At 40.5% G+C, this 25,240-nt stretch overlaps 1 protein-coding gene across 12 annotated transcripts in view; it reads right to left on the bottom strand.

Moving 5' to 3' along the window:
• Positions 1 to 25,240, bottom strand: part of TIAM1 (TIAM Rac1 associated GEF 1) — a 440,670-nt gene that overhangs the window by 81,454 nt on the left and 333,976 nt on the right. For 11 of the 12 annotated variants that reach the window (NM_001353690.1, NM_003253.3, NM_001353688.1 and 8 more), the window contains 5 exons: positions 23,535 to 23,720; positions 17,682 to 17,828; positions 13,527 to 13,601; positions 10,174 to 10,344; positions 3,037 to 3,141 (listed from right to left, as the gene is read on the bottom strand). In NM_001353690.1, the coding sequence (NP_001340619.1) occupies positions 3,037 to 3,141; positions 10,174 to 10,344; positions 13,527 to 13,601; positions 17,682 to 17,828; positions 23,535 to 23,720 (684 nt within the window). The remainder of the gene's footprint in view (positions 1 to 3,036; positions 3,142 to 10,173; positions 10,345 to 13,526; positions 13,602 to 17,681; positions 17,829 to 23,534; positions 23,721 to 25,240) is intronic. The other variant, NM_001353687.2, reaches the window with a different exon arrangement.

Raw genomic sequence — 25,240 nt, forward strand, 5'->3', positions numbered from 1 at the left:
CCCTCTCTTCACTCACTCACCCTGTTCGAACATCACATTAAAAAAAAAAAAAAACACACAAAAAATAAATAAAATAAAATAGCAACAAGACCCACTGCAGATGTGCCATCTCCCTCTCTCTACTTGCCCCAACTTCTTGTCTCTCCAGGCTTTGAACATTCCCTGACATATTACACATTCACATGTATTTTTACTTGTTTCTGCAAACTTGAATACAGGTTCCACCAGAAGCAGAATTGTTTTGGTGTATCCCCAGTGCCTAGAACAGCTAGAGTAGTGCCAGGCATACAAATGCTAAATAAATATTTGCTAGATGATAGCTGGGTGTGGTGGTGGGCAACTCTATTCCCAGCTACTTGGGAGGCTGAGGCAGGAGAATTGCTTGAACCAAGGAGGCAGAGGTTGCAGTGAGCCAAGATCGCGCCACTGCACTCCAGACTGGGCAACAGAACAAAACTTCATCACAGAAAAAAAAAAAAGTGATATCTTTATATTTACAAACCTTAAACTGAAAATCAGCATTTCCTTTTATCCTAAATGAATGTAGGCAACAAACATAGTAATAGTAGCAGTGCCTGTGACTCCGTCACGAATGGAAATCACAGTTATTTTCATATCATGTTTTAGCTGCTGCTAGTGTCTCAAAATATTATTTATGCTCATCGTTACCTCAGAACAGTGGTAGCTATTAGATCTACTGCTAGGTCTTGTAATTTAATGGTCTAGCTATTAGGTCTATGTCTACCTATTAAGCCTTATAATTTAATAAGCTAATAAATAAGAACATATATTACCAATAATTCAAAAAATATTTTTGAGAACTATTTCAATATATTTAGGGCACAGGTAAGCCTATGTATTCTATTTTACGCGATTGAAAATATCATTCTGAGAAGGGGTCTGGAGGCTCCACCAGGCTACCAAAAGTATCCAAAGGACAAAATAATTAAGAACCTTGGTTGAAACAGAGGTTTTGCAAGACTGTGGCATTTGCATCCTTACAGATCTATGGGCTGGAGACCTTCTGCAACAGGCCAAGAAATAATACCATGGTCTCCCTGTACTTAAGATTCTTTTAAAATACATATATAGCTATCTGCATACAAAAATTGTAGATCCAAACAGACTAAAGAGACCACACAATGGGCAAGGCTTAAAAATAATGAGTCCATACAATTTCAAAAACTATGTCTGAAGTACCTATACCTCTTATGTGAAAAATATGAGGAACATGGAACCTGGTTAGGCATGATCCCTATAATTCAGGATGCAAAATACTCATTAACCCCAAGATGCAAAATATATAATCTAATAACTCTTCTAGTGTTAGCAGGAAAGCACTTCCCTTTTTTAAGTAAGAAAAAAGGGTTTTCTTTCCTTTACTCATACAGCAGCACCAAGACTGGCCTTTTCCCCAGGCCAGAAAAAGAATACATCAGCCCTCTCTGTTAAATGTACTGAACACAGAACAGTTACTGATTTAAGTGATAGTTGGAAAAGGGCTCATTATTTTGATAATCTTCTATTGCATAACGTGCTATAAGTGTTACAAAAGCACACGCTCTCTTACATTTCCTTAAAAGCCCTTAAAGGGGCACAAGGTAACTTTTCAGATAACAGAAATGTTCCAAAGCATGATCACAGCAGTGGAAACAAGACTGTATACATTTGTCAAAACTCATTGGATTGTGTCCTTAAAGTTGGCAAGAGTTTCCTTAAATGTAAAGTATACCTCAATAAAGTTGACTAAAAACACAATTTCCTACTCATTTTTAAATCATGCTTCCCTTTTCCAAAAAGAGAATAATACTTGGGTTTAAATGTTCAGTTCCGCTTTCTGTGGTGAAACCCTCTCTGAAGTCACTGTTATTCACACATCCATGGCAAGCAGTCAGAGCCCCCAGAGGAATGACTAAGAACAGAGAGAGCACAGGAACTCCAAAATAGAGGCGCCTTGCTCCCAAAATGTTTCTTTCCTGGAACTGACAAACGCACCACTTTGCTAAAGAGCAAAGAGCTTGTCACTGGGCTTACTGCAATAACAACCATTGTAATTTACCAAGTAAGCATATTATCTCTAATCTTTGTAAAATCCTAGAAATTAAGTATTAGCATTTCATTTTTTTTTCTTGGCTAGTTCCATATGATTAGTAAGCAGGTCTGATTCAGAACCCCAGTCCCATAAGTATGTTCAAACTCAAATATATGTAAATGTCCCCGAGAAGCTATATAAATACAGTTCCAAAAGACTAGGACATAGATGGCAGCTTTTTTCACCCAACAAGATTTGATCCAGCAGTTTCAACATGGCTACGGATGTCACACAAAATTAGAATTAGCACTGTTTTCTGTAACAACAACCAGCTGATTTTTAAGTCACCAATTAAAATAAAAGACTGGCCGTGCGCAGTGGCTCACGCCTGTAATTCCAGCACTTTGGGAGACTGAGGTGGGAGGATCACTTGAGCCCAGGAGTTCAAGACCAGCCTGGGCAACAAAGCAGGATCCTGTCTCTACAAAAAAAAAAAAAATTAAAAAATAAAAGTTCGTCAGCCATGGAGCTGCGTGCCTGTGGTTCCAGTTACTCAGGAGGCTGGCACAGGAGGACCACTTAAGCCCAGTAGTTCAAGGTTGAGGTGAGCTATGATCACACCACTGTACTCCATCCAGCCTCGGTGACAGAGTGAGATCCTGTCTCTAAACAACAAAATAAAAATACTAAAATACAATAAAATAAAAGATTGCCAATGCAAGGAAAGCTAGTATTATAATAATGACTAAAGTTCTATCTAAGAGATAGCTCTAGATTTTGATTTGTCATGATAGCACTGCACTGCTTCGTGCGTAAACAAAGGTGATCATTCCACTCTGGAATACTGAGCTAAGTAGGGCCATCTCCACCAACTTAAGGGCTATGAATGAAGCTCATTTATTTTTGAACTCGTTCCACTCCACCAACTACAATTAACACGAGAACACTCATAATTTGAAGATAATCTCCCATAAAGTGTGCTTGGACAACAGTCATAACATTACCAGCTCATAGATGTCTTCCTCGGGCTGTGGAACATAGAGCTGCATTTTGTTTTCTATTAGAAATTTCAGGCGCAGGTAATGAGCAGAATGATCCAGTTGATGTGTCTGGGACAAAAAAGAAAGAAAGAAAGAAAATGTCTGTTCAATAGTAAATAGGCACAATTAGTTCTCCACCAACATACGATGTATTCCTATGACCAATAGAGTTTGTTGTTGTTGTTGTTGTTGTTTTGAGATGGAGTTTCACTCTTGTTGCCCAGCCTGGAGTGCAATGGCGCAATCTCGGCTCACTGCAACCTTCGCCTCCTGGGTTCAAGTGATTCTCCTGCCTCAGCTTCCTGAGTAGCTGGGATTACAGGCGCCCACCACCACGCCCAGCTGATTTTTGTGTTTTTAGTGGAGATGGGGTTTCACTATGTTGGCCAGGCTGGTCTCGAACTCCTGACCTCAGGTGATTCACCCGCCTTGGCCTCCCAAAGTGCTGGGATTACAGGCGTGGGCCACTGCTCCCGGCCCAATAGAAATTTGATGCTGAATGGGGGTATAAAGTTTCTATACTTCTTAAAAAGTTTACATCGTAAATGCAAAGTTTTAAAATAACTTTCATTGAACACACTGGTAACATTCCAAGGGTATCTTAGGATTCAATGGAAACAACTGACTCACATCTCCACGCCTCCTTATTTGATTCATTGTGCTCTCTAACACTGGTAAAATTTTCAACACAACACAGCAGATCAAAAAGGTTCTTAAATATAACTTCATAGATAGGTGATTAAAGAAAAGGGTAACAAGAAAGGTAAGAAAATACTGTATTTACAATGAGAGAAAAAAGCTGTGCCCAGGCAAAGTTGTTTTTTTAACCACATAGGGACAGTGGGACAGTTGTTAACAGTTCATTTGCAAGCGAGTCAGTGTGAAGACAAGGCTTTTGGACTTCAATCTTATTTATATACTCCCCAAGTGAGACTCCCTCCAGGGGCAGTGCTAATAGGCGTGTGTCCAACTATGGAAACACACTGAATGACTCGCTCAAAGAAAACAATTCTAAAATTGAAATTTTCAAGGACCCTTTAGTCCAGGATGGAACAATAGATTTTTTCTTCCTGTCTAAAAAGTAATCTTTGAATTAATTTTGAGGAATAAGTAATAATACCAACATGGTTTTATAAATCATTCTCAGTAGACAGTCAAGAGGATACAGGGAAAAAAAGAAAATGCTCTCCAAAAGTTACACAGCAACATGAAAATATATTGCTAGAGAGAAAATGTTTAAACCAAGTGATTTTTTTAAGCATCCTTATCTTTTAGGGGTACATCCTAAAGCGCTAATAGATAGAAATGATATAATGTCTGGAATTTGCTTCCAAAACAAATAAGAGTTGGGGGTGGGAGTGAGTAAATCGATAAAACTTAATTTGATCATTACAGATGCTAGGTGATAGATACATGAGAATTTATTACATTGTTCCCTACTTTTATACAAATTGGACATTTTTCACAAAATAAATATAAAACCTCTTCACATTCAAAGCTCTGCAGGTGAGAATTATTTCAAAATAAATAAAGTTAATTTTAACTGGTTCAGTACTCTTTCTACTTACCCCACCCTCAAAATAATATTTTTAAAGCCAAACTAACAGCATTCCAATAACCATTCCAGTAATATATATTCAGTTACACTTAACGAACTCTTAGATACGCCAGACACCATGTGCAGTAGTGAGAATACAGAAACTAATACAACATAAATGCAGTCTTCAGGAGTGTCTGCAGCTGCAGGTAAAAGCTATGTAGATGTGGAAGGTGAGGCAGCAGTGGTTTAGCATTTTAAATAAATATGTACATGCAGGACAGGCAACCTGCATTCTTGTAAAAGCACATTTCCAGAAAGTGGAAATGAGTTCACTCTGAACACATAGCAGAAGGATAAAGTTTTCTATCAGTGATTCTTGGGAACCCCAACCTTTCTCCTCTCCTGAGTAATATGATAGTTTGCAGCCTGCTGTGCCAGACACAGATGCCATTCACCGAACATGTCCCAGTGCACCTGGCTTTTGTCCTTTCACTGCCTATATTTGAGACCAGATGCTCAATGTCTGACAGATCCAAGATTGTTGATGTCAAAGATAATAAGGCTGGAGGCGAAAGCCCAGGGAACATAAAACAGGAACTTTTTAAGTGTGCTACTTACTGCTGGAGAATCATCAAGATAAATAAACAACAACAAAATACTAATATTTAGGGTGATGTGATGAGCAAGAAAAGTTTTCCTAAGAGAGATCGAAGCTGCAAATGTTTCCCACCTACCTGGGTCCTCACTGAAATCTTTAATTAGAAGCAAAAATTTTGGTTCACCATCTGTTTCCGACTGAGGCGGAAGGGAAAGAAATGAAATTTCATGGGTTCTTAGTAACAGGAACAAATTCACTTGGAAACCTTATCATCATCATTAATAAACACTTTGTGGGCACTCCTTAATGAGACTGCCACTGAAACAGACTGTCTTCCAGAAATCAGGCCAAAACAGCAACCTCACCCAAGAAGTTCTGGTTCCTGAAACTTCAGTGTGAGAGACAGCCCACTGTCAGGCACAAATAGCCTAAGGTGGTCCTGGTGTGGACTGCGGAGAACTGCAGCATCCCCTAAATGCTACAGTACTGAAAACATTTATACAAACATGCAGAGAATGTCAAGGCACCTCACTTGAATTGTGTAATGCATTGCAGAGAACTAAAGAATGATAAATATAGCAATGGTAATAAGAATGATTCTTGGCTGGGCATGGTGGCTCATGCCTGTAATCCCATCACTTTGGGAGGCCAAGGTGGGCTAGTTGCTTAAGCCCAGGAGTTTGACCAGCCTGGGTAACATGGTGAAACCCTGTCTGTATCAAAAATACAAAACTTAGCCACGCATGGTGGGGTGAGCCTGTAGTCCCTGTAGGCTACTCAGGAAGTTGAGGCGGGAGGATTGCTTGAGCCTGGGAGGGCAAGGCTGCAGTGAGCTATGACTACACCACTGTACTTCAGCCGGGGGACAGAGTGAGACCCTGTCTCAAAAAAAATTAATAAATAAGTAAAAGGAAAAAAAGATTATTGCCACAAACCATCATATTTTTCAAACTTCTTTAAGTTACAATAATGTCTTGATAACTTTAAAAAATAAAAATCAGCACAAGCAGCAAACATGAAAATTATAATGGTCTTACTTGTAACTTAAGAGCCCTAATTTTGGTCAGTAAATAGTTACTCTCAAAACAGGACATTGGATCAAAATATATACCAGTGTGTCTTACTATTTTGGTAAAAGTTTCTGAATTATGAGCCCTTGTTAATCACGGCTGGTCTAACATAAAAATAAAATCCTAATGAATTAATTAAATCAGATCATCAGAACGATCAAGAAGAATTTTATGCTCCTTAGATACCTGTTAGTCAATATCAAAGCAAGTCAAACAACTAACCATGTTCAGAATACATCTTTGTGCAAAGGAATTTCAAATGTTAATGAATATTTAAACATAGTAATTCTAAATGTGTGGCCTTGCTTTAGACATAAAACATTCAAGTGAAAACTCAAAAGAAAATTGAGACTCGTAAAACATTCAAGGAAAATTCAGTTAGGAAAAAATTTAAATGGTATAAATTTGTTTTCCAATGTACATGTACTTAAGTTACTTAGCATTTGATGCATTTTGAGGCAATGCAGCCGCAAATTATACCCTAAGTATTATGGTACAACAATTTTTAGTTTAGTTGGCATAATTTTTTAAATTCGCATCTTACTATGACTATTTCAAAGGATGAAACAGCAAAACACAATGTAGATATTTTCAGTAAATAGTTTGCACCAATTAAAATAGATAACATGTCTCAGAATTTACTGCCTTAGAGCTCCTAATCCATTATGTTTTGCTATTTTTCTTCATATTCTTCCATTTCAGTCAAACTTCTAGAAGACATACAAACATGCAATTACTGCATACACAAATGCAAACATGTAGTCACTGCATACAGAAATATGTATACACACACACACACACAAAGTGCTATTGTAGAATTTCTAAAGATATTTTCCCTCCCCTTCAAAGTAACCTTTTCTTTCTCTAAACGCCAATGGTTATAGCATATCCAAAGCCACAGAATGACGTAGTAAAAGCATGAAATAAAACTGACACATGGTCACATGTGAATAATATCAGTAGGTATAAATGAATGAAAATATGTTGCAATTATTTTTGTAGTTGTAACGATCAGAATATATCCAAAACCTACAGGGCAACATGGTTACCTGCTATATTTAGCAACAATCATTCCAGTAACATCTGTGACATGAATTGTATATGAAATGAAGATCTTGAAACATTTACTATACCAGAACTTGACTGGTGCTCAGATGGCAGATGGCAAACTGATGTGAAATGATGTGGATCAGATAGAATAGGAAAGAGAATGAGCTGAATGCAAGAGACAGAAGAAACAGATTGATTATTAAATATTAGAGAAAGCATCTATCACCAAACATTGAGAATAACAATAATGAAACAAAAGACAGGCATTTTTACAATCATGTTTGTTTTCAATGAGGAAAAAAAAACCATTCGCCATTATATCAGATTGTTAATAACATGGGACACTGTTTTCCCCATTATCTCCTTCCCTCTTAAGAATAAAATCAGATCCACTAATTACAATAAGGTGTTTTCCAAGGAAGAAACAAGCTTTAGAAGGCACCTGGCCCTGAGCATACTATATCACTTTTCCTACATGGGTGCTTTTCCAAAGACCATCAATTTCTGAAATGCACACACAAGTCTTCCAGTTTTAAACTCATGAGATTTTTTATGTGTGTGTATTTTTAGTACAGATGGGGTTTTGCCATGTTGGCCAGGCTGCTCTCGAACTCCTGGCCTCAAGTGATCTGCCCTCCTCAGCCTCCCAAAGTACTGGGATTACAGGTGTGAGCCACCGTGCCCGGCATAAACTCATGAGATAGAAGCTTGTTCCACATCACGTTGTTTTTGCTTTTATTTCTATGTCTTGGGAAAAAGACCTGAAGGCCCAGGGAAAATTGGACAGGACTAACTTTTACTGTTGGAGAAAGGGATTTTGTACCTTAATGATGCCATCAGAAACCTTTCAGGTGACAGAAATAAACACTTTAAAGGGGATCAGGTCCACTACATTATCTAGATATGGTCTCTAACTGTCAATGACAATACTATTCTTCATTCCCCTAGTTTCTTCCAAAGCAAAAGCTTGAAACATACGTAAAGTGGGCCAATCATTCATTGCTTCACTCACTGATCAATCTTCCACCAATCAATGGTAATCGGAAAACTTTGGCTTAACCTTCGATTCCTGATCCAGTTTAAAGCCAATGTGCACAGGATGCTCCAAAGCCATGTTATTCTTCTGGAAACACCTTCCAGAGTTCGGCTTATACAAAAAAGCCAGAAAGTTCTACTTTTAACACCTTCATCTGCAGATCTGACAATAACTCTTCAGCTCTGCAGAATGTTAATGGGTCTCTAAAGAATTGTGCTAATTATAAATAAAGGAATGCAGAAATCCTCTACAGACCAATTTTGTTAAGTAATTAACATGAAAAAATTGTGAACTGAGATACCATTATCTCCAAAAGCTAGAACCCTCGTACATGAAGGATTCAAAGCACACAGAGAGGTGATACCATTTATTTTTAGCATCCATGTCAGGGCTGACTTTAGTTATGGCCCAAAACAAGTGATTCTTCTATTTTTCCTCCACATACATAAGACATTTTAAGAGGCTAATTTGAGCTGAACTGTCCATTTCTCTGATTCATATGAAGAGCCATGTTTTTTCTTTAAAAAGCCGTCTGTGATTTGCTTTTTTGAAAATACAAAAATTGCTGATAGTAGAACTACAAAATTGAGGTACTTGCGGAGGTAGTGAAAGTCATTCAGTATTTACAAACATTGTGTTGAATGATGAGATCTTTAAAACGTCATTTCATCCATCCAACTTCTTCTAGGATAAAATTGTGATAGAAAAGTTTTTCATTTTTTTTTTTAGCAGCCCCAAAGAAGACCAATTCACTCCCCTAAGAATATATTCTAGATTCTTCTGAGCCTTACTGATTGTCCTTCCTGAAGACTAACCCAGGTTCTGAGAGTTCTTGTGGACACTCGGCACTGCAGGATGCACCCAGCTGTAGAGAAGCCAGACGTGGGTTCAGTCTCTCCTTTGCAACTGACTGTGATGTGAGTTCAGGCAAGCAGCTAAGGCCCTCTGAGCTTCACTTCCTCCATGTGTACAATGGCAAAGTCTCAGCTCTTTCTCAGGCTCAGACCTGATACGACTACGACATAGAACTATTAATGCTATTCATTATGTAAAAATAAAAACAAGCATGCAAGTAAAGTTCTTCTTTCCTCTCTCTCCCCTCACTCAAGACCATTCACCTGGCTGCCCTTCACGGGGAAAAATGAAACCAGGTTCACTTTGAAAAAGATCAAGGCATTTCTTCCATGGTTTAAGGTGAAAGAGAAAAGGAGCTCAATCATTTGTCATGTTTCTAAAAAGGCTAATTCTGTGTTCACAAAAGAAGAATTTCCCATCAATGGAGGTCAAACTTATATTTCCTTCCATTTTCCCCAATTCTAAAGATGCCCATAGTGTATCGGTTACTGATTAAAGAGCAGGTGACAGAACAGTACCCATAATATGATGCCATTGAACACATGTATCTGTATGTGTGCGGAAAAAGGAATGAATGGTCAAACGCCAAAATGTTTGCAATGGTTATTTCTGGATTTCGTGAATAAGAGTGGCCTTAATTTTCTGTTGTGTTCTTCACCTAGATTTTCTAAAAGGTTTGCAATGAGCATGTGATACATGCATTAGAAATCTATCAAACACACACATTGAAAGATGCTACTTAGAAGAGTTCCTCTCTTCCCAAAGGTGAAGCATTCACTAATATAATTTTGAATACTATCACAAAGGAATGCAATGCTGCTCCGAAATGAAAGGGAGGTGTGTTTTAAGCACCTTCCTCTCCCACACGGCTCTGGGTTTCCACATGTGCCTTAGAAGATTGCTACACCCCATTCTGCTCTTCTTGGAGAAACAACCCAAAGCAGCTCCATACCTTGCAAATCAGCTCCAGGGTGTCCCGTGCAGTGTCGCCTGGCCGGACGACCGTCAGGGCAGGCTGATTATTGGGCAGACAGAACCAGGATGGAGTGAAATACTCGTGGACCCAAATGTCGCAGTCAGGGTTGTGCTGGTGAACGTTAGGTAAGACCACTTCTTTCTCCCTCTATAACAAGAAATAAAGTTAGCAGGGCAGCAGCAGTGGAGCTCTGACAACCCTAGATTCCCAGACTGCACACAGGAATCACCGATTCCCATGAAAACAGCCCAGGGCAGAAGCGGAGGCAGTGGTGGGAGGCAGGGGAACCCTTGGAGAGAGAGAAACTACTGAGAAAGCAGATTTATGGTGCAATGGAGAGATTTCAAACTTCAGCTGTGAGGCAGGCTTCACAACCCACAGCATCCATAGGTGATCACGGCATGAATGAGTGGGCATCAAAATTTGGAAGAAAAGAAAGAAAGAGAGAGAGATAGGGAAGGAAGGAAAAGAAAGAAAGAAAGAAAGAAAGAAAGAAAGAAAGAAAGAAAGAAAGAAAGAAAGAAAGAGAGAAAGAAGGAAGGAAGGGAGAAAGAAAGAAAGAAAGAAAGAAAGAAAGAAAGAAAGAAAGAAAGAAAGAAAAAGAAAGAAAGAAAGAAAAAGAAAGAAAGAAAGAAAGAGAAAGAAAGAGAAAGAAAGAAAGAGAAAGAAGGAAGGAAGGGAGAAAGAAAGAAAGAAAGAAAGAAAGAAAGAAAGAAAGAAAGAAAGAAAGAAAGAAAGAAAGAAAGGTCACCATTCAGCTCAGCTTTATGGCTCTTATTTCTTCCACAAACTCATTTCAAGTTTCAAGCAGGGAATTCCTACAACAAGCACATCTGCCATGAGAACTTTACAGTTCAAAGCAATGGTGAAGCCCCAATCATTTTTTTTTTTCAAAAAGATCATGTTTTAGCACTACATATTTATATTTATATTTATAGACAGCATCATTTTTGTGCTCTCCTTGGACCTTCAGCACGACCCGGCGCCAGAGACAATTCAGTTTTCTGGAGGTCAAAGAACTTGACGGATAACATCATGGCACAATGTAGCAAAAACAAGCCTCCTTTGCTGCCATCACTGTATCCTCTCCATCACTGCCTGAGGACCAGGGAGTGGAATGAAGTTTGTGAATGTGGGAGAAGGGTCGGAAGTCCTCCTTTAGCAGCTGGGTTAAACCTAAGCAAGCTAAGCAGATGAAGCAGAGGATGTTCCTTAGCTTGATATAATGTTACTTTCCTTAGATTGATACAATGTTAGGAGCCCCGCGAAATAAGCAAGGAAAGAATGATGTTAGATTTCAGCAATGTAAACATAATATTGATGCTCAATATATGCTAAGTAATAGGCCTTCATTATTGATTTATAACCAGGCCACTAGTTGGTAAATATGTATCTACTGATGACCAAGAACAAGGCTGGTATCAGCAAATTACAAGAAGGAACAAATTTCCCAATGAAGGCTGAGAGGTGGTAATATAACCTCCATTCAAAAGAAGAATGGAATCCAAGAATGGGGGAAACGTTTTCGTAAAAGCCATTCAACTAAATCCAACTGGGGAAGATAATTTCAGCCTCGCCTTTGAACAGAGTTGCTTTAGCAGATAAGCTGGACTCCAGGGAAGGAATTGTCAAAAAGCAATCAACATACCTAAATCCCATTAAGTATAATTGGAATATTCAGACTCTGTTCCAGTGTGCCACATTAAATAAATGCCCCTTAGCACTGGATCAACCCAAGTTTTGCATCTAAACACTCTGAGAACAAGGCATTCTAGCCAGGATGTGGGAGAAAGACGTACCTTAGAAAAATGGAAAACCAAAAATGCTACACAGAAATCCAATGGAAAAACTTTCGCAGTTTCCAAGTTCTGTGGTCTAGAGAAGATATCTCAGTATTAAATGTGGACTAATAATGGTATGCAAGATGAACTGGCCAACCTCAGAAATGACCAAGTTAACATCAAAAACTATGCTTGGATTGCACATAGGCCCAAAAACTGAATTTCTTCAAATTTCATCAGACAGAGATGCTCAGACAGTGGCCATGGATGAGTATTTCCAAGGACAGTGGCCTTTATATCCAGGATAGCATCATTCATGAGTAGTTTGTGTATGAAGGAAAGAAAAGGCCTTCCCATGGCCACTCTTCTCTCTTCCCCTCCAATAGCAGAACTCCCCATGGCACTCTGGATTCTGAAGCTCAGCTCCATCTACAACATGGGGCTGAGCCACTGATGACTGACACTACTTGGATGCATGGCAACTGAGGGCTGAATTCTGTCATATTGATTCTGAGCCCAAGAACCAGAGGATCCCACCAAGGTCACATTATCAACATCAGACCATCCCCCATCCCCCACACAAACAGGCTCCCAGTATCACTACTAGGGTCTTGAAAACGAGAGACGTCTATTTATTTAGAGGCTGAAAAAAGTGGCCAATTAAAAAACAAATCAGTATTTTTATGGGCTTTCAATCAGAGCAGTTTGAAAGCCCCTGTTTAAATCCAAGCACAAGGCTGAACCAAGCCTGTGAATCTTTTTTTTTTTTTTTTTTTTTTTTGAGAGAGAGTCTTGCTCGGTTGCACAGGCTGGAGTGCAGTGGCTCCATCTCTGCTCACTGCAAGCTCCGCATCCTGGGTTCACGCCATTCTGCTGCCTCAGCCTCCCAAGTAGCTGGGACTACAGGTGTCCAGCTAATTTTTTTTTTTTTTGTATTTTTAGTAGAGACGGGGTTTCATCGTGTTAGCCAGCATGGTCTCCATCTCCTGACCTCGTGATCCACCCGCCTTGGCCTCCCAAAGTGCTGGGATTACAGGCGTGAGCCACCACACCCGGCCGAATCTTTAATTGAATACTTGACTTGGGAGGCAAATGCGTTTTTGTTGTTTTTCTTTTTTTAAAGAACACGCTATCAGAACAGTTCTTTGAAACTAATGGGAGCAAAACAGCATGTGTGGGCAGAGAGGGAGGGTAGTAAGAACACACCTCTTGGGAAGAGAAGTTGTACATGGAAAGAAATTGGCAATGGCATAAAATATTCAGCTATTCAGAACCCAAATTTCCTCTTACATTCTAGTTAGAAACTCACACATCAAATGGTAAGTATGGGAAATGTTATGTCAGCAGGAGAATGTTCCCTCTACCACTCAGTTTTAAATATAAAATGATTTTCCATCTCTTGTTGACTTATTACATAACTTTTAAAAACTGATTTCAGTTTTTAATATTGAGTTTACTTAATTTTAGTAGCTCAAGACAACACTGCACCATGTATATGTTGATGCACTTGTGGTACTTTTAGAAAAGAAAACACACGTTTATTTTTACCTTGCCATCTGGAACAATGTCATCAAATATTCCCTCTAAAGATTTCTTTACAGCTTCGGTTCCCTCTCCAAACACCTGCATATACAAAAGTACCACCTTAAAAAGGAATCTGGGCAACAGGGCAAACGAAACGTAGGAAGGGGGAAGGAAATGGGCATGGCTATGACAAAACCTTACACACGTGTTCAGATACTCCTACATCAAATCCCAAAGCAGGTACAATAATTTATGGGAGCAGACCTGGAAAAACACATCCCTCTATCTAGATCACTTCCCTACGTGTTTGACAGTTGGAAAAAAAAAAGTTTGCTCTCAAATATGGATAATTCATCTCTACTTAAAGAAAATAGGCTGGGCATGGTGGCTCATGCCTATAATCCCTAGCACTTTGGGAAGCTGAGGCGGGAGGACTGCTTGAGCCTAGGAGTTTGAGACCAGCCTGGGCAATATAGTTAGACCTCATCTCTACAAAAAAAAAAAAAAAAAAAGAATTACATTAAATTAGCCAGGCATGGTGGGGTGCACCTGTAGTCCCAGCTACTCCTGAGGCTAAGGCAGGAGGATCACAAGATCACATCACTGAACTACAATCTGGGCAACAGAGGGAGACCTTGTCCCAAAAAAAGTAAAAAGAGAAAGACAATAGGTTAGGCGTGGTGGCTCATATCTGCAATCCTAGTACTTTGGGAGGCTGAGGCAGGAGGATTGCTCCAGCCCAGGAGTTTGAGACCAGTTTGCTCAACAGAGTGAGACCCTGTCTCTATAAAAAATTTGAAAATTAGCCATGCATAGTGGCATGCTCCTGTAGTCCCAGCTACTTGGGAAGCTGAGATGGGAGGATCACTTGTGCCCTGGAGGTCAAGTTTGCAGCGAGCTGAGACCACACTACTGTACTCCAGCCTGGGCAACAGACTGAGACCTTGTCTCAAAAAAAACAAAAAAATAAAAAACCAGAAAGAAAAAGAAAAAGAAAAATATAAATAAAAGAAAAGAAACTAGCAAAAGCAATGAGCTAGATAAACTCACAATGAAGCATTTCTCCTATAGCCTCATATACCTGACCAGATACTTATAAGTAAAAATCTGCTTGCTTTGTAATACATTCTTAAGTAGAATGTGAGAATATTATAGTTTTTTACCTCAACATGGCAACATAGGGGTTTTTTTAATTAAAAAATAGAAAATTGTCTCTTCCTTGAAATGTAATCAATCCTGCTAACTTAAAGATGCCATGAAAATTAGAATAGGGTAACAATGCCACTAGGTAAGGAAACTCATGGACATGAGGAATTTTGTGATTATCCCTAAAACAAGAATGTAGTATCAGGATAATGTACACAATTGAGAAAAAGCCTTTCCTCCATGCAAATAAAATATACAAAAACATACAATGTTTTTAACTTTTTTTCGGTAGAGAAAGCATGTTGCTATGTTGCCCAGGCTGGTCTCAAACTCCTGGCCTCAAAGAATCCTCCCACCTTGGCCTCCTAAAGTGCTAGGATTACAGGCATGAGCCACCACCCCGGCCAAAAAAACATAATTTTTGTCCATTTCAAATTATAGAATTAATGACTAAATTCCTACTGGTATGTTTATGGCTAAGCAAAAGGTTCTTAAAAACTCATACTTTTAGAAAAAATACAAGAATTGTTTCTAAGACATTACATTGTGCTTTGATTTTAGAAAAATGTTAAAACATTCTCTTGAATTCATTTAAATTCAGTCATATATTTCAGTAGAAAAGGGCGGTAACATAACCTGGTGCCAATCAAGCAGAAGCACATGAACAAAGGGTTTTGTTAGAAAACAAGTCCAAACTGTGAAGTCCAGAAGCAGTGGGCTGAGCCATCTCTCAGGGCAGAAGACACATACACAATGACACCACCACCTCCCAAAAGAAGAAGAGAAATGGGCCAGGCGCAGTGGCTCATGCCTATAATCCCAGCACTTTGGGAGGCCAAAGCAGGCAGATCACAGGGTCAGGAGTTCGAGACCATCCTGACCAACACAAAAGTTAGCTGGGTGTGGTGGCAGGCGCCTGTAATCCCAGCTACTCAGGAGGTTGAGGCAAGAGAATCACTTGAACCCAGGAGGCGGAGATTGCAATGAGCTGAGATCGCGCCATTGCACTCCAGCCTGGGGCAACAGAGTGAGACTCTGTCTCAAAAAAGAAAAAAAAAAAAAAAAAAAAAGAAGAGAAATGCTGATGGTTCATGTCCTCCTTTTTGCAGGTTTTAACTGAGAACCATCAAGTCTCTTTTGTTATTTTTCTGATGAAATGTTGACTTTCCTCCACAGTTTTTTCTTTAGATTTACATAAAAGTAAAACCCATGGAAGCAAGCTCAATGATCTACTCTCCCCAAAGATCACAAGACAAACTGCGAAACTGCTTCAGTCTCACACTCGCTTAGCATTTGCTCATCTGCTCTCCGCAGGTTCCATCAAGGATAGGGAAATGCCACATTAAAACAGAGAGTATCAGCCAGGCACGGTGGCCCACGTCTATAATCCCAGCACTTTGGGAGGCCGAAGTGGGCAGATCACTTGAGGTCAGGAGTTCGAGACCAGCCTGGCCAACATGGTGAAACCCCATCTCTACTAAAAATATAAAAATAATAAGCTATTAGCTGCACGTGGTGGTGAGTGCCTGTAATCCCAGTTACTCAGGAGGCTGAGGCAGGAGAATCACTTGAACTGGGAGGCAGAGGGTGCGGTTAGCCGAGATTGCACCACTGCACTCCATCCTGGGTGACAGAGCGAGACTCCATCACAAACAAAACAAAACAAAACCAAAAAACCAATGAGTATCACAGTCAGCTAAGGGACTCAGGGCATCAGCTTTCAGGACTAATCTCTTTTCTAAAATTCATTTCTTAAGTAAATTAATGGCTGGAACTGTCCGAGCAAACAAGGAGAGATCATTCTATCAAGTCAGTCGATGACGTCCTCTCACTTTTCACAAGGGCATGCGGTGAATAGGTCAAACTAGCAGTCTTAGTCATGACCTCCAAAATGCTGAAGGCCTGACTTTCCAGCCACCGCAGCCCACAAACTGGACATTCTTCTTCCGAAAGACTACAGATGCTCACGTTCCTTTAGTCCCTGAAATCTAAACAAGCAGTTCTGGAGCTACTCATTTCTCAAAGCCGAACGACAAGGAAGACAGTAACAACAGACAGTGGGCTTCACGGAAGTAACCCCAGCAGGAGACTGGCCTTGGCGAGTGAAGAAGTCAAATTTAATGGGCAAGAATTGGGTGGCTGTACATGGTCAGTGGACACCCGTCACGGCACCAGGCTATGTTGCGCCCTCACGACATACCGAGATCCCGTTCCAGCCCCTGGACCTGAGCAGAAGGGGGCTGTGGCAGTGGGCGAGCTCTCTCGGATTCCTGTCTCCTCATTCCAGTAGGCAGAGGATCTGCCCATTTAATGTCAGCTCCAAAAAGTCAAGGGCAGAGAATAATCAGAATTCCCTGGAGGCTGCCTTTCATCCAGTGCCAGAGGCAGCTTAAAAAGTCTCTGCATGGCCAGGTGCAGTGGCTCATGCCTGTAATCTCAGCACTTGGGGAGGCTGAGGCGGGTGGATCATGAGGGTCAGGAGTTCAAGACCAGCCTGGCTAATATGGTGAAACCCCATCTCTACTAAAAACACAAAAATTAGCCAGGCATGGTGGTGGGCACCTGTAGTCCCAGCTACTCGGGAGGCTGAGGCAGAAGAATCACTTGAATCAGGGAGGTGGAGGTTGCAGTCAGCCAAGATTGTGCCACTGCACTCCAGCCTGGTGACAGAGCGAGACTCTGTCTCCAAAAAAAAAAAAAGACTGCACTCAGGTACCCACTTGGCTTCATTGCAGAGCCCTGCTTTTTCCTGAAGACTCAGGGTGAATTGTGCGCTTTGAGTAGGTCTGTAATTAATGAGGGTTTGGAAAGGATGCAGGTGGGAAACTGCAGCTTGGTGATAGACTAATAGCAGAGTTCAATGTTATGGGTATGCATTATCTATTAAAAGTGTCTAGCACAGCTAGTTTCTTTGTGCCAACTAGTTGATTTTAAATAACACTCGGCCTCACTGAAGAAACACACACACCCCAAATTGAGGTGGCCACAGAAGTGATTTGTGCGGGCTCACTTTTCATCTGCTCTGGAACCTACCTGATTGATGCTTGGCCGTCCCTGCTTCTTTTTGGAGGTAGTATCCAGACCCCACAGAGAAGAAAACCTGCTCCTTCGCTTGCTCGCGGATCTGGACATGGCCTGAGTACGTCTTCTCACTCCAGTTTCACCAGTGCGTGCTGCCACCTGAGGATGGCAAGGACAAGCAGCCACAAGGGAGATGCATCAGGACCACCCACTTGTGCCTTGAGGTCCCCGTAAGTCCCACCCTTCAAAAAACCCTCCTCCATCATGCCAGCCAACCCTGACCCCAATGCCTAAAGTATTCAATCCATGACCCAGACATATTGGGACTTTGAGAGCCCTTCATGGATTCAGAATGGAAATGAAAAGCTGGCAAATTCAATCCTTGTTTGAAATCATCAGCAAAAATACATAATATAGGAATAAAATATATGTTCTGTTTCCAAAAATGACATGTCCTTCTGGTCACAGGCTTGAACTACAGCAAGGGAAATGAGCCAGGCTTTCTCTCCAAATGCTACAGAGCTGTTTCTGCATTCTATTGAAAAATGGTGCTAAAGCGTCAGCAACAATAGTGGAAAAACAACAGATTTTGGTTCCTGGGTTTCCAGGTTAAATCTAAAATTACCAATCTCTACTATTTTGTTTTCTTAGGATATATAAAATCACGTTTTAAAATCAGACGAGTGATCATTGGCCCCCAATATCCATTCTCTATTCCATCTTAGTCAGAAAAATCTCAAATGTAGGCCAGGTGCGGTGGCTCATGCCTGTAATCCCAGCACTTTAGGAGGCAGATGCAGGCAGATCACCTGAGGTCAGGAGTTCGAGACCAGCCTGGCCAACATGGTGAAACCCTGTCTTAACTAAAAAATACAAAAATCAGCTGGGCACAGTGACAGGCACCTGTAATCCTAGCTACTTGGGAAGCTGAGACAGGAGAATTGCTTGAACCCAGGAGATGGAGGTTGCAGTGAGCTGAGAACACGCCACTGCACTCTAGCCTGGGCGACAGAACGAGACTCTTTCTCAAAAAAAAAAGCGGGGGGTGGGGAATCTCATATGTAAGTGAGCATGCAGCCACTGAGTCCAAGATGACTTATTTTCCTTGCAGTAGGGCATGGATTGGGCTTAAGTCCTGGTCAATGGCATACAAGCAAAAAATATTTGCAACTTCCAGGAACTGTGCTCAATGGGAGGGGGCTTTCTGTTATTCTTTCCGCTATCCTATCTGTTTTCTTTTTCCTGATAAAAGGAAGGTCTGTGTTGTGGTCTAGGATGTCCCTACCTAAGCCTTTTCAAGGATGGCAGAATAACAAGACAAAAGGGACTGGGCTCACTGAAGATGAAGGCACCTTACCAGACTTGCATCACTTACATGTCCTATGTTTAGGTAAATGGGAAAGAAAACTTGTATTTTTTTGTTGAACAAAAGCTAAACTCTGTCGAGGTATTACAATGTGCCAGCAACCCAGAGAAGCATTTCCTTTTTTTTTTTTTTTTTTTTTTTTTTTGACGGAGTCTCGCTCTGTCACCCAGGCTGGAGTCCAGTGGAGCGATTCCAGAGAAGCATTTCACAAGGGAACACCCTAAATGTAAATCTGTCACCAGGATAATTGCTCAAGTAGAATCTCCACAAGGACTCCAGAAAGTCCTCCCAGGCAAAACATTCAGGCTTGAACTTTATCCTACCAGGTGGCAAGCAAAGTCCCAGGAATTTAAGGGAACTTCTGCCAGAAGGTCTCCATGGGCCACCCACCCGCTCGCCTTTCAAAAAAGGGAGTGGCAGGAGGAACAGCGAGTCAGACTTGAAATGAAACTTCTCCACCCACTCTTTTGTTGCCAGAGGTGAATGTCTTGGAACCTACTTGTAGATTCCCACACAGGCAACTCCCAATGTGACAGATGCCAATTGGCAGCAATGCAGGGGATGAGGCACTGTTGGTAACATGAGGGGCCTCCCCAGCAGTCAGCGTGTTGGTTGGAAGGCACGCCCCTCTGGGGCTTCAGTACTGACAATGTAAACACCGCAGAAGCCCCACGGGTGGCAGGGACCCCTACGTACATTAAAAACAGGAATCAAAACGGCTTCTCTACAAGGGTATTAGAGGGAAGGTTTTTGGACCCAAACAAAAATAGGAAGATGAGGGAGCTGAGAGGTCTTGCATTTTGCATTTTCTCAGCTTAGCACGTTAAAAAAACAAAACAAAACAAAAAAAAACCCCAGATCAGGGCATAGAAAAATGTGGTATCCAAGACACTGGTGAGAATTTTCATGAGAAAGATCTTAATCTAAGATTACACCGGAGGTGTCACAGGGAACAAAATCACAAGACAAACACACCGTAAAATATGTAAAAATTTTCTCTTCTCTATTTTCATCACTTTCTCAGTTAAAGGTAAACAAAGGTTGTAAAAGGAATAAATTATAACATGCAGACATGCATATGCTCACATGACTATGTCAACACTGAATAAATGGTGTTAAAAATTTTTAAATTCTAGAGGAAAAAAATGTCCATTTGGCCTCACAGTCATATAGTCATTTTATAAATAAATCCAGTCATTAACAGTGACACATACATAGAGGCAACCGTATAAAATACGTCGACATATATTACTGTTTGCTTTCTTCATACACACAGCAATACCTGTACTTACTGTGTCTAGTTAATTGTTTACTTATTTCTTACCCTTCTCTCCCACAAGAATATAAGCTTCAAGAGGACAGGATCTCTGCGCTGTTCACTATAGTCCTAATCACAAGGATAAAACTGACGGATGCCAGGCACTTACATACATTTGTTGCTTGAACAAATAAATACATAAATACCACAAAGCAAAAGCACATCCTATATAACACGGTGACAACAATGGGTGCATCACACCAACACGGCACATGTATACATATGTAACAAACCTGCACGTTGTGCACATGTACCCTAGAACTTAAAGTATAATGTAAAAAAAAGAAAGAAAAAAGAAAACTCTTCAGTTTACAATTTCCAGACAAAGACAGCATGAAAGAGAAATTCATACACCCATAAATATTCTCAGTTATCAGCTGACTAGTTAGTTTAGTCTGTTTAACAAACACTTTACTTAAGTTTCTTATAAGCAGTAATTCTAAATTGCTTGGGGCCTTGTAAACTGCAAAAGTAACCACTATCCCCAAGACAATAATGACTCAAAATGAGCAAAGGGATTTAGAAAAAGGGCTGGCAGAAGAACTGCTGGACCAGAGCTCAAGAGTTTCCCAATGATCTTTGCCCAGACAATGCCTCCCTTTGTGGCCTGAACCTGATTACTCTATCATTCTGCTCATCTGTGCAAACAAGAACAATGATAACCTTCTTTCAAAGAGTACAGCGAGGACCCTTCAGTTAATTACTGCAAATCACTCAGCATTATGGGAAGCTTTCTCAGTGAATGCTACTTCAATTGTAGCTCCCCAATCTACCCAGCCCTGTTACCCTCACACCTCCTCCTTCCTCCTCCCCCACTAAAAAGAAGAAAAAAAATTTCTGGACAAAGACTAAATTGAAGAATGTTTCAACCCCAAGGAGAAAAAAAATCCCAGGGGTCAAATGACAAGGAGAGGAGGGAAAGAAAATAAGAGTTCCTAATAAATCAGACTGCAAAATTCCCTGCCCGGGATCTTCCACAGGAGCTAAAGCAACAAATAGGAACAGACACCCAACAGGCTCGCCTGACTTGTTCCGGCTGAAATGAAACCCCTCATAGAAAAGAGAAGTTGCAGGAACATATTGAAACACCCAGACTTGTATCACTGACAAAGCGAGCAAAAACCCAAGAAAGGAACAGAGAGTTGAACGTATGGACTTCAATGTTCTTTAAAACCACTGACCAAAACACCTCAGAGTAACTAACTCTCCCATCCCCATCTTCAGCTGGCCAAATTTTAATAGCCTGCCCCCCTGAAAGAAAAGTACACACACATCACAGACATTGAGATGAAGGAAATTAGAGGGTCCGAAGATGAATTATGGAAGAGTAAAACGGTAACCTTCTCAGGGAGGCTGCGCCCAGTGGCTTTGAAGAAAATAATGAAAGCATACAAGTTTTAGGGAGAAAGCAAAATTATTTTCTCCAAAATCTAGCAAGGTACAGTAAGAGGAGGAAGCCACTTCGATGCTCCGGGTTTGGTATTAATACAGATGGTACCTCGATGACATCACGAGTTCCCTTCATAAAAATGCGTCCTCAATGGATGATATTCTGACAAGGAGATAAAGAAGAATTTCTATCCTAGTTTTTTTGTTTATTTTTGTTTTGCAGAATAGGCGAACTGAGATTTGGCTAAGTTAAAAATTGGTGTCCAGGTCTCCAAGAAATAGATCTGGAGTCAAAAACTGAAAACGTTTTGTAAGTTTATTCAACACAGCACTTTGTCCCACCACTACTGAAAAAACAGGATTTAATAGCTGTATGGAGAGGTGGTAGCCAGGGAGACCAAGAGCTGAGCTGTAATTAGCAGAACAAATCAGGATGCCAGTTTTAATAACTCCAGAAATTGGTTTAAGACTTCTTTAAAAATGTAAATCTACCCCTAATTATCTGAATGATGATGCTAATCTATTTATAAAGAATACAAACGCCTCTGACTGAATTATAGCTCTGAATGCAATTGAAGGGTACAGCTGACAAAGCAAGAGAAGAACAGCACAGCTAAGGTTTTACAAAGCAGTTTCTGGAACCTGAGACTTAACATTTAATTCTCTAGCAAATGTGCTAAGGTGCAGTACATTCTAAGTGGGTGTCGACTTGGAAAGACTAAAACCATGTTACTCATACAGCAATTTTTGAGAAGGAGCCAAAAGTACACAAAGCTGCTCGCAATTTAGCAAGTACATGAAATTACAGATTATAAACACACAACACAACTATACAATCTGCCGCTCTAGAGGTCAGATGGAAATTCCCTTCCTCAAGCAATGCATATATGTTCAGCTGGCGAATCACAGAGTTCTTCGCCTTGCTCTAATGCATCGGGTATTCGTGGTCATCAAAACAATGGTAAAAATAAAGTGAAATGGAGAGCTCCAAAGAGATCTGTGTTCCATATATGGTGTATGTGTGTATGTATGTGTGTGTATATATACATACATGTACACATACATATATATATATATATATATATATATATATATTTTTTTTTTTTTTTTTTTTTTTTTTTTGAGACAGAGTCTCACTTTGTCACCCAGGCTGGAGTGCAGTGGTGCGACCTTGGTTCACTGTGACAACCTCCTCCTAGGTTCAAGCGATTCTCAGGCTTCAGCCTCCTGAGTAGCTGGGATTACAGGTGTATGTCACCACACCCAGGTAATTTCTGTACACTTAATAGAGACAGGGTTTCACCATGTTGGCCAGGTTGGTCTCGAACTCCTGACCTCAGGTGATCCACCTGCGTCGGCCTCCCAAAGTGCTGGGATTACAGGCATGAGTCACTGCGCCCAGCCTGAGAATGCATTGATGTATGAGAGTGAGCACTCCACTCACCATTCCCACCAAGTTTATATAAAAAATATGTATTTGGGTTCCAAACATGACACTGTCTAAAGATGACAAGAGCTATCAACAAATACTACATGTGAACAGCGCTGAAGATGGTACCCTTCATATTTCCTTTGCACAATAGCTTAGGCCCCCCCATCAAGAGATAGATGCTTAAGTAATATATTCCAGACAGGTTTAAATGGAAATTTGCATCCACTGCAAAGGGAGGGCATTTCAGAAATCCATACACAGCAGGAAGCTCGAAAAACACTTAGGAGACTCTTGTCAAGTCCTGCTCAGGATTAAGCGTCAAGCTTAATGTTTTTCAAAAATTCATTAGCTTCTACTCACCAGGGCATGAAACGATGATACCGAAAAGATTCCAAGGCGGCCCATGGCCACTTTCGTTGGTCGACTTGCAAAAGCGAGAAGCCTTTTGGGGTTTGGCAGCTCCCCACCCTGAAGGCTGGCTAAATAACAGCGGAAACGAAACAGGTCCATTTGGAACTGCTCGAGATTTTGCTCCCAGACAAAGATCTATGGTAGTGAAAACACGGGAAAAGAAAAAGTGAGAAAATGGGAAACAAATGCTAATATCTTTATCCTATACAGATCTATATGTCGTAAAGGCATTCATTATAATCCTAAGGAATAAACAACAGGTACCTAAGTTTCTTAGTTACTTATGTTTCTTCTGCAAGATCTATAGCCATAAATTCAGCATCATAAATAGAAAGTGACAAGTTCCTCTGTTCCCTCCTATCTTGGAGTTCGTACTGGGGGCATGATAGGTCTATCAACTCCAAGATCTGGACCACAAACTCTAGACTCCAGAAGTAAAAATGTAGAGATTTCCATCACCAAAGAACTATATGACTTAACAAGAGGTAGGTTTTCATACAAAGAAAAGTGAGACGAATGAAAGGCTAGAAGCAATGGACCAAGTGCTTTTGGGAAGAGCGGGGTAGCCCGGAACACAGGGTGGAAGTGGAACACAAGATGGTGGAGACCCAGACTCTGGAATACAAAGTTCCAACTGTAGCATGTCTCTGAGACATTCCCTTATTTTTCAAAGTGGCAAAATAATAACTACCTCCTTAGGCTGTTGGGATGTTTGAAAAAGATAATACAAGCATAAGTACAAGGTCTGGCATAGAGTGAAGGTGCAGTGATGCTGACAATGGTACAGATAATGAGGAATGGTTGAAATCTCCCTTTTTGCTTCAACAAAATATATATCACTGTACACACATGTTCATAGCAGCACTGTTTGCAAAAGGTGGAAACAGCTTGAATGTCCATCAAGAAATGGCCAATAAACAAACCATGGTGTATACGTACAACCAGAACCCAGGAGTAAAGTGCTGATGTATGCTACCATGTGTATCCACCTCCAAAACATGAAGCTCAGGGAAGGAGCCGGACACAAAAGGCCACGTACTGTGCAATTCCATTCATATGAAATATCTAGAATAGGCAAATCCATGAAGACAGAGTGCCGGGGGCAGAGAGGAGCAACTGCTTCACAGGTACAGGGTTACATTTTGGGCCAGATTAACAATTTCAGGGCTAGATGGGGGAGTGTTTGCACCACATGGTAAACGTACTCGATGTTACTGAATTGTTCGTGTTAAAATGGTTGATTTTACATTGTGTGAATTTTGCCTCAATTTAAAAAAATACAATGTCAGGTAACAAAGGGAAACCCCAGAGGGAGAGAAATGTGGAAGGCCCATGTCAATTGTTCAATGATTTAAATATCATTTATTCATGTAATTATTTCCTGAGCATTAGGACAAAGTGTCAAAGCACTACCAGATGGCTATTACTGACAGCTGAATAGCAGGCAAAAATGTGCTTTGTTCATTTCACTAAATCTTTTTTCTTTAGCATGAAATATACTTATGCACATATAAAGCAATTATATATCTAGATCTAGATAGATAGATAGATATATCTCTCTCTATATATATCTATATATATAGAGAGAGAGCTTGCTCTGTTACCCAGGCTGGAGTGCAATGGCACAATCTTGGCCCACCGCACCCTCTGCCTCC

This window comes from Homo sapiens, chromosome 21 (genome assembly GCF_000001405.40).
Source record: "Homo sapiens chromosome 21, GRCh38.p14 Primary Assembly".
NCBI classification, from domain to species: Eukaryota; Metazoa; Chordata; class Mammalia; order Primates; family Hominidae; genus Homo; species Homo sapiens.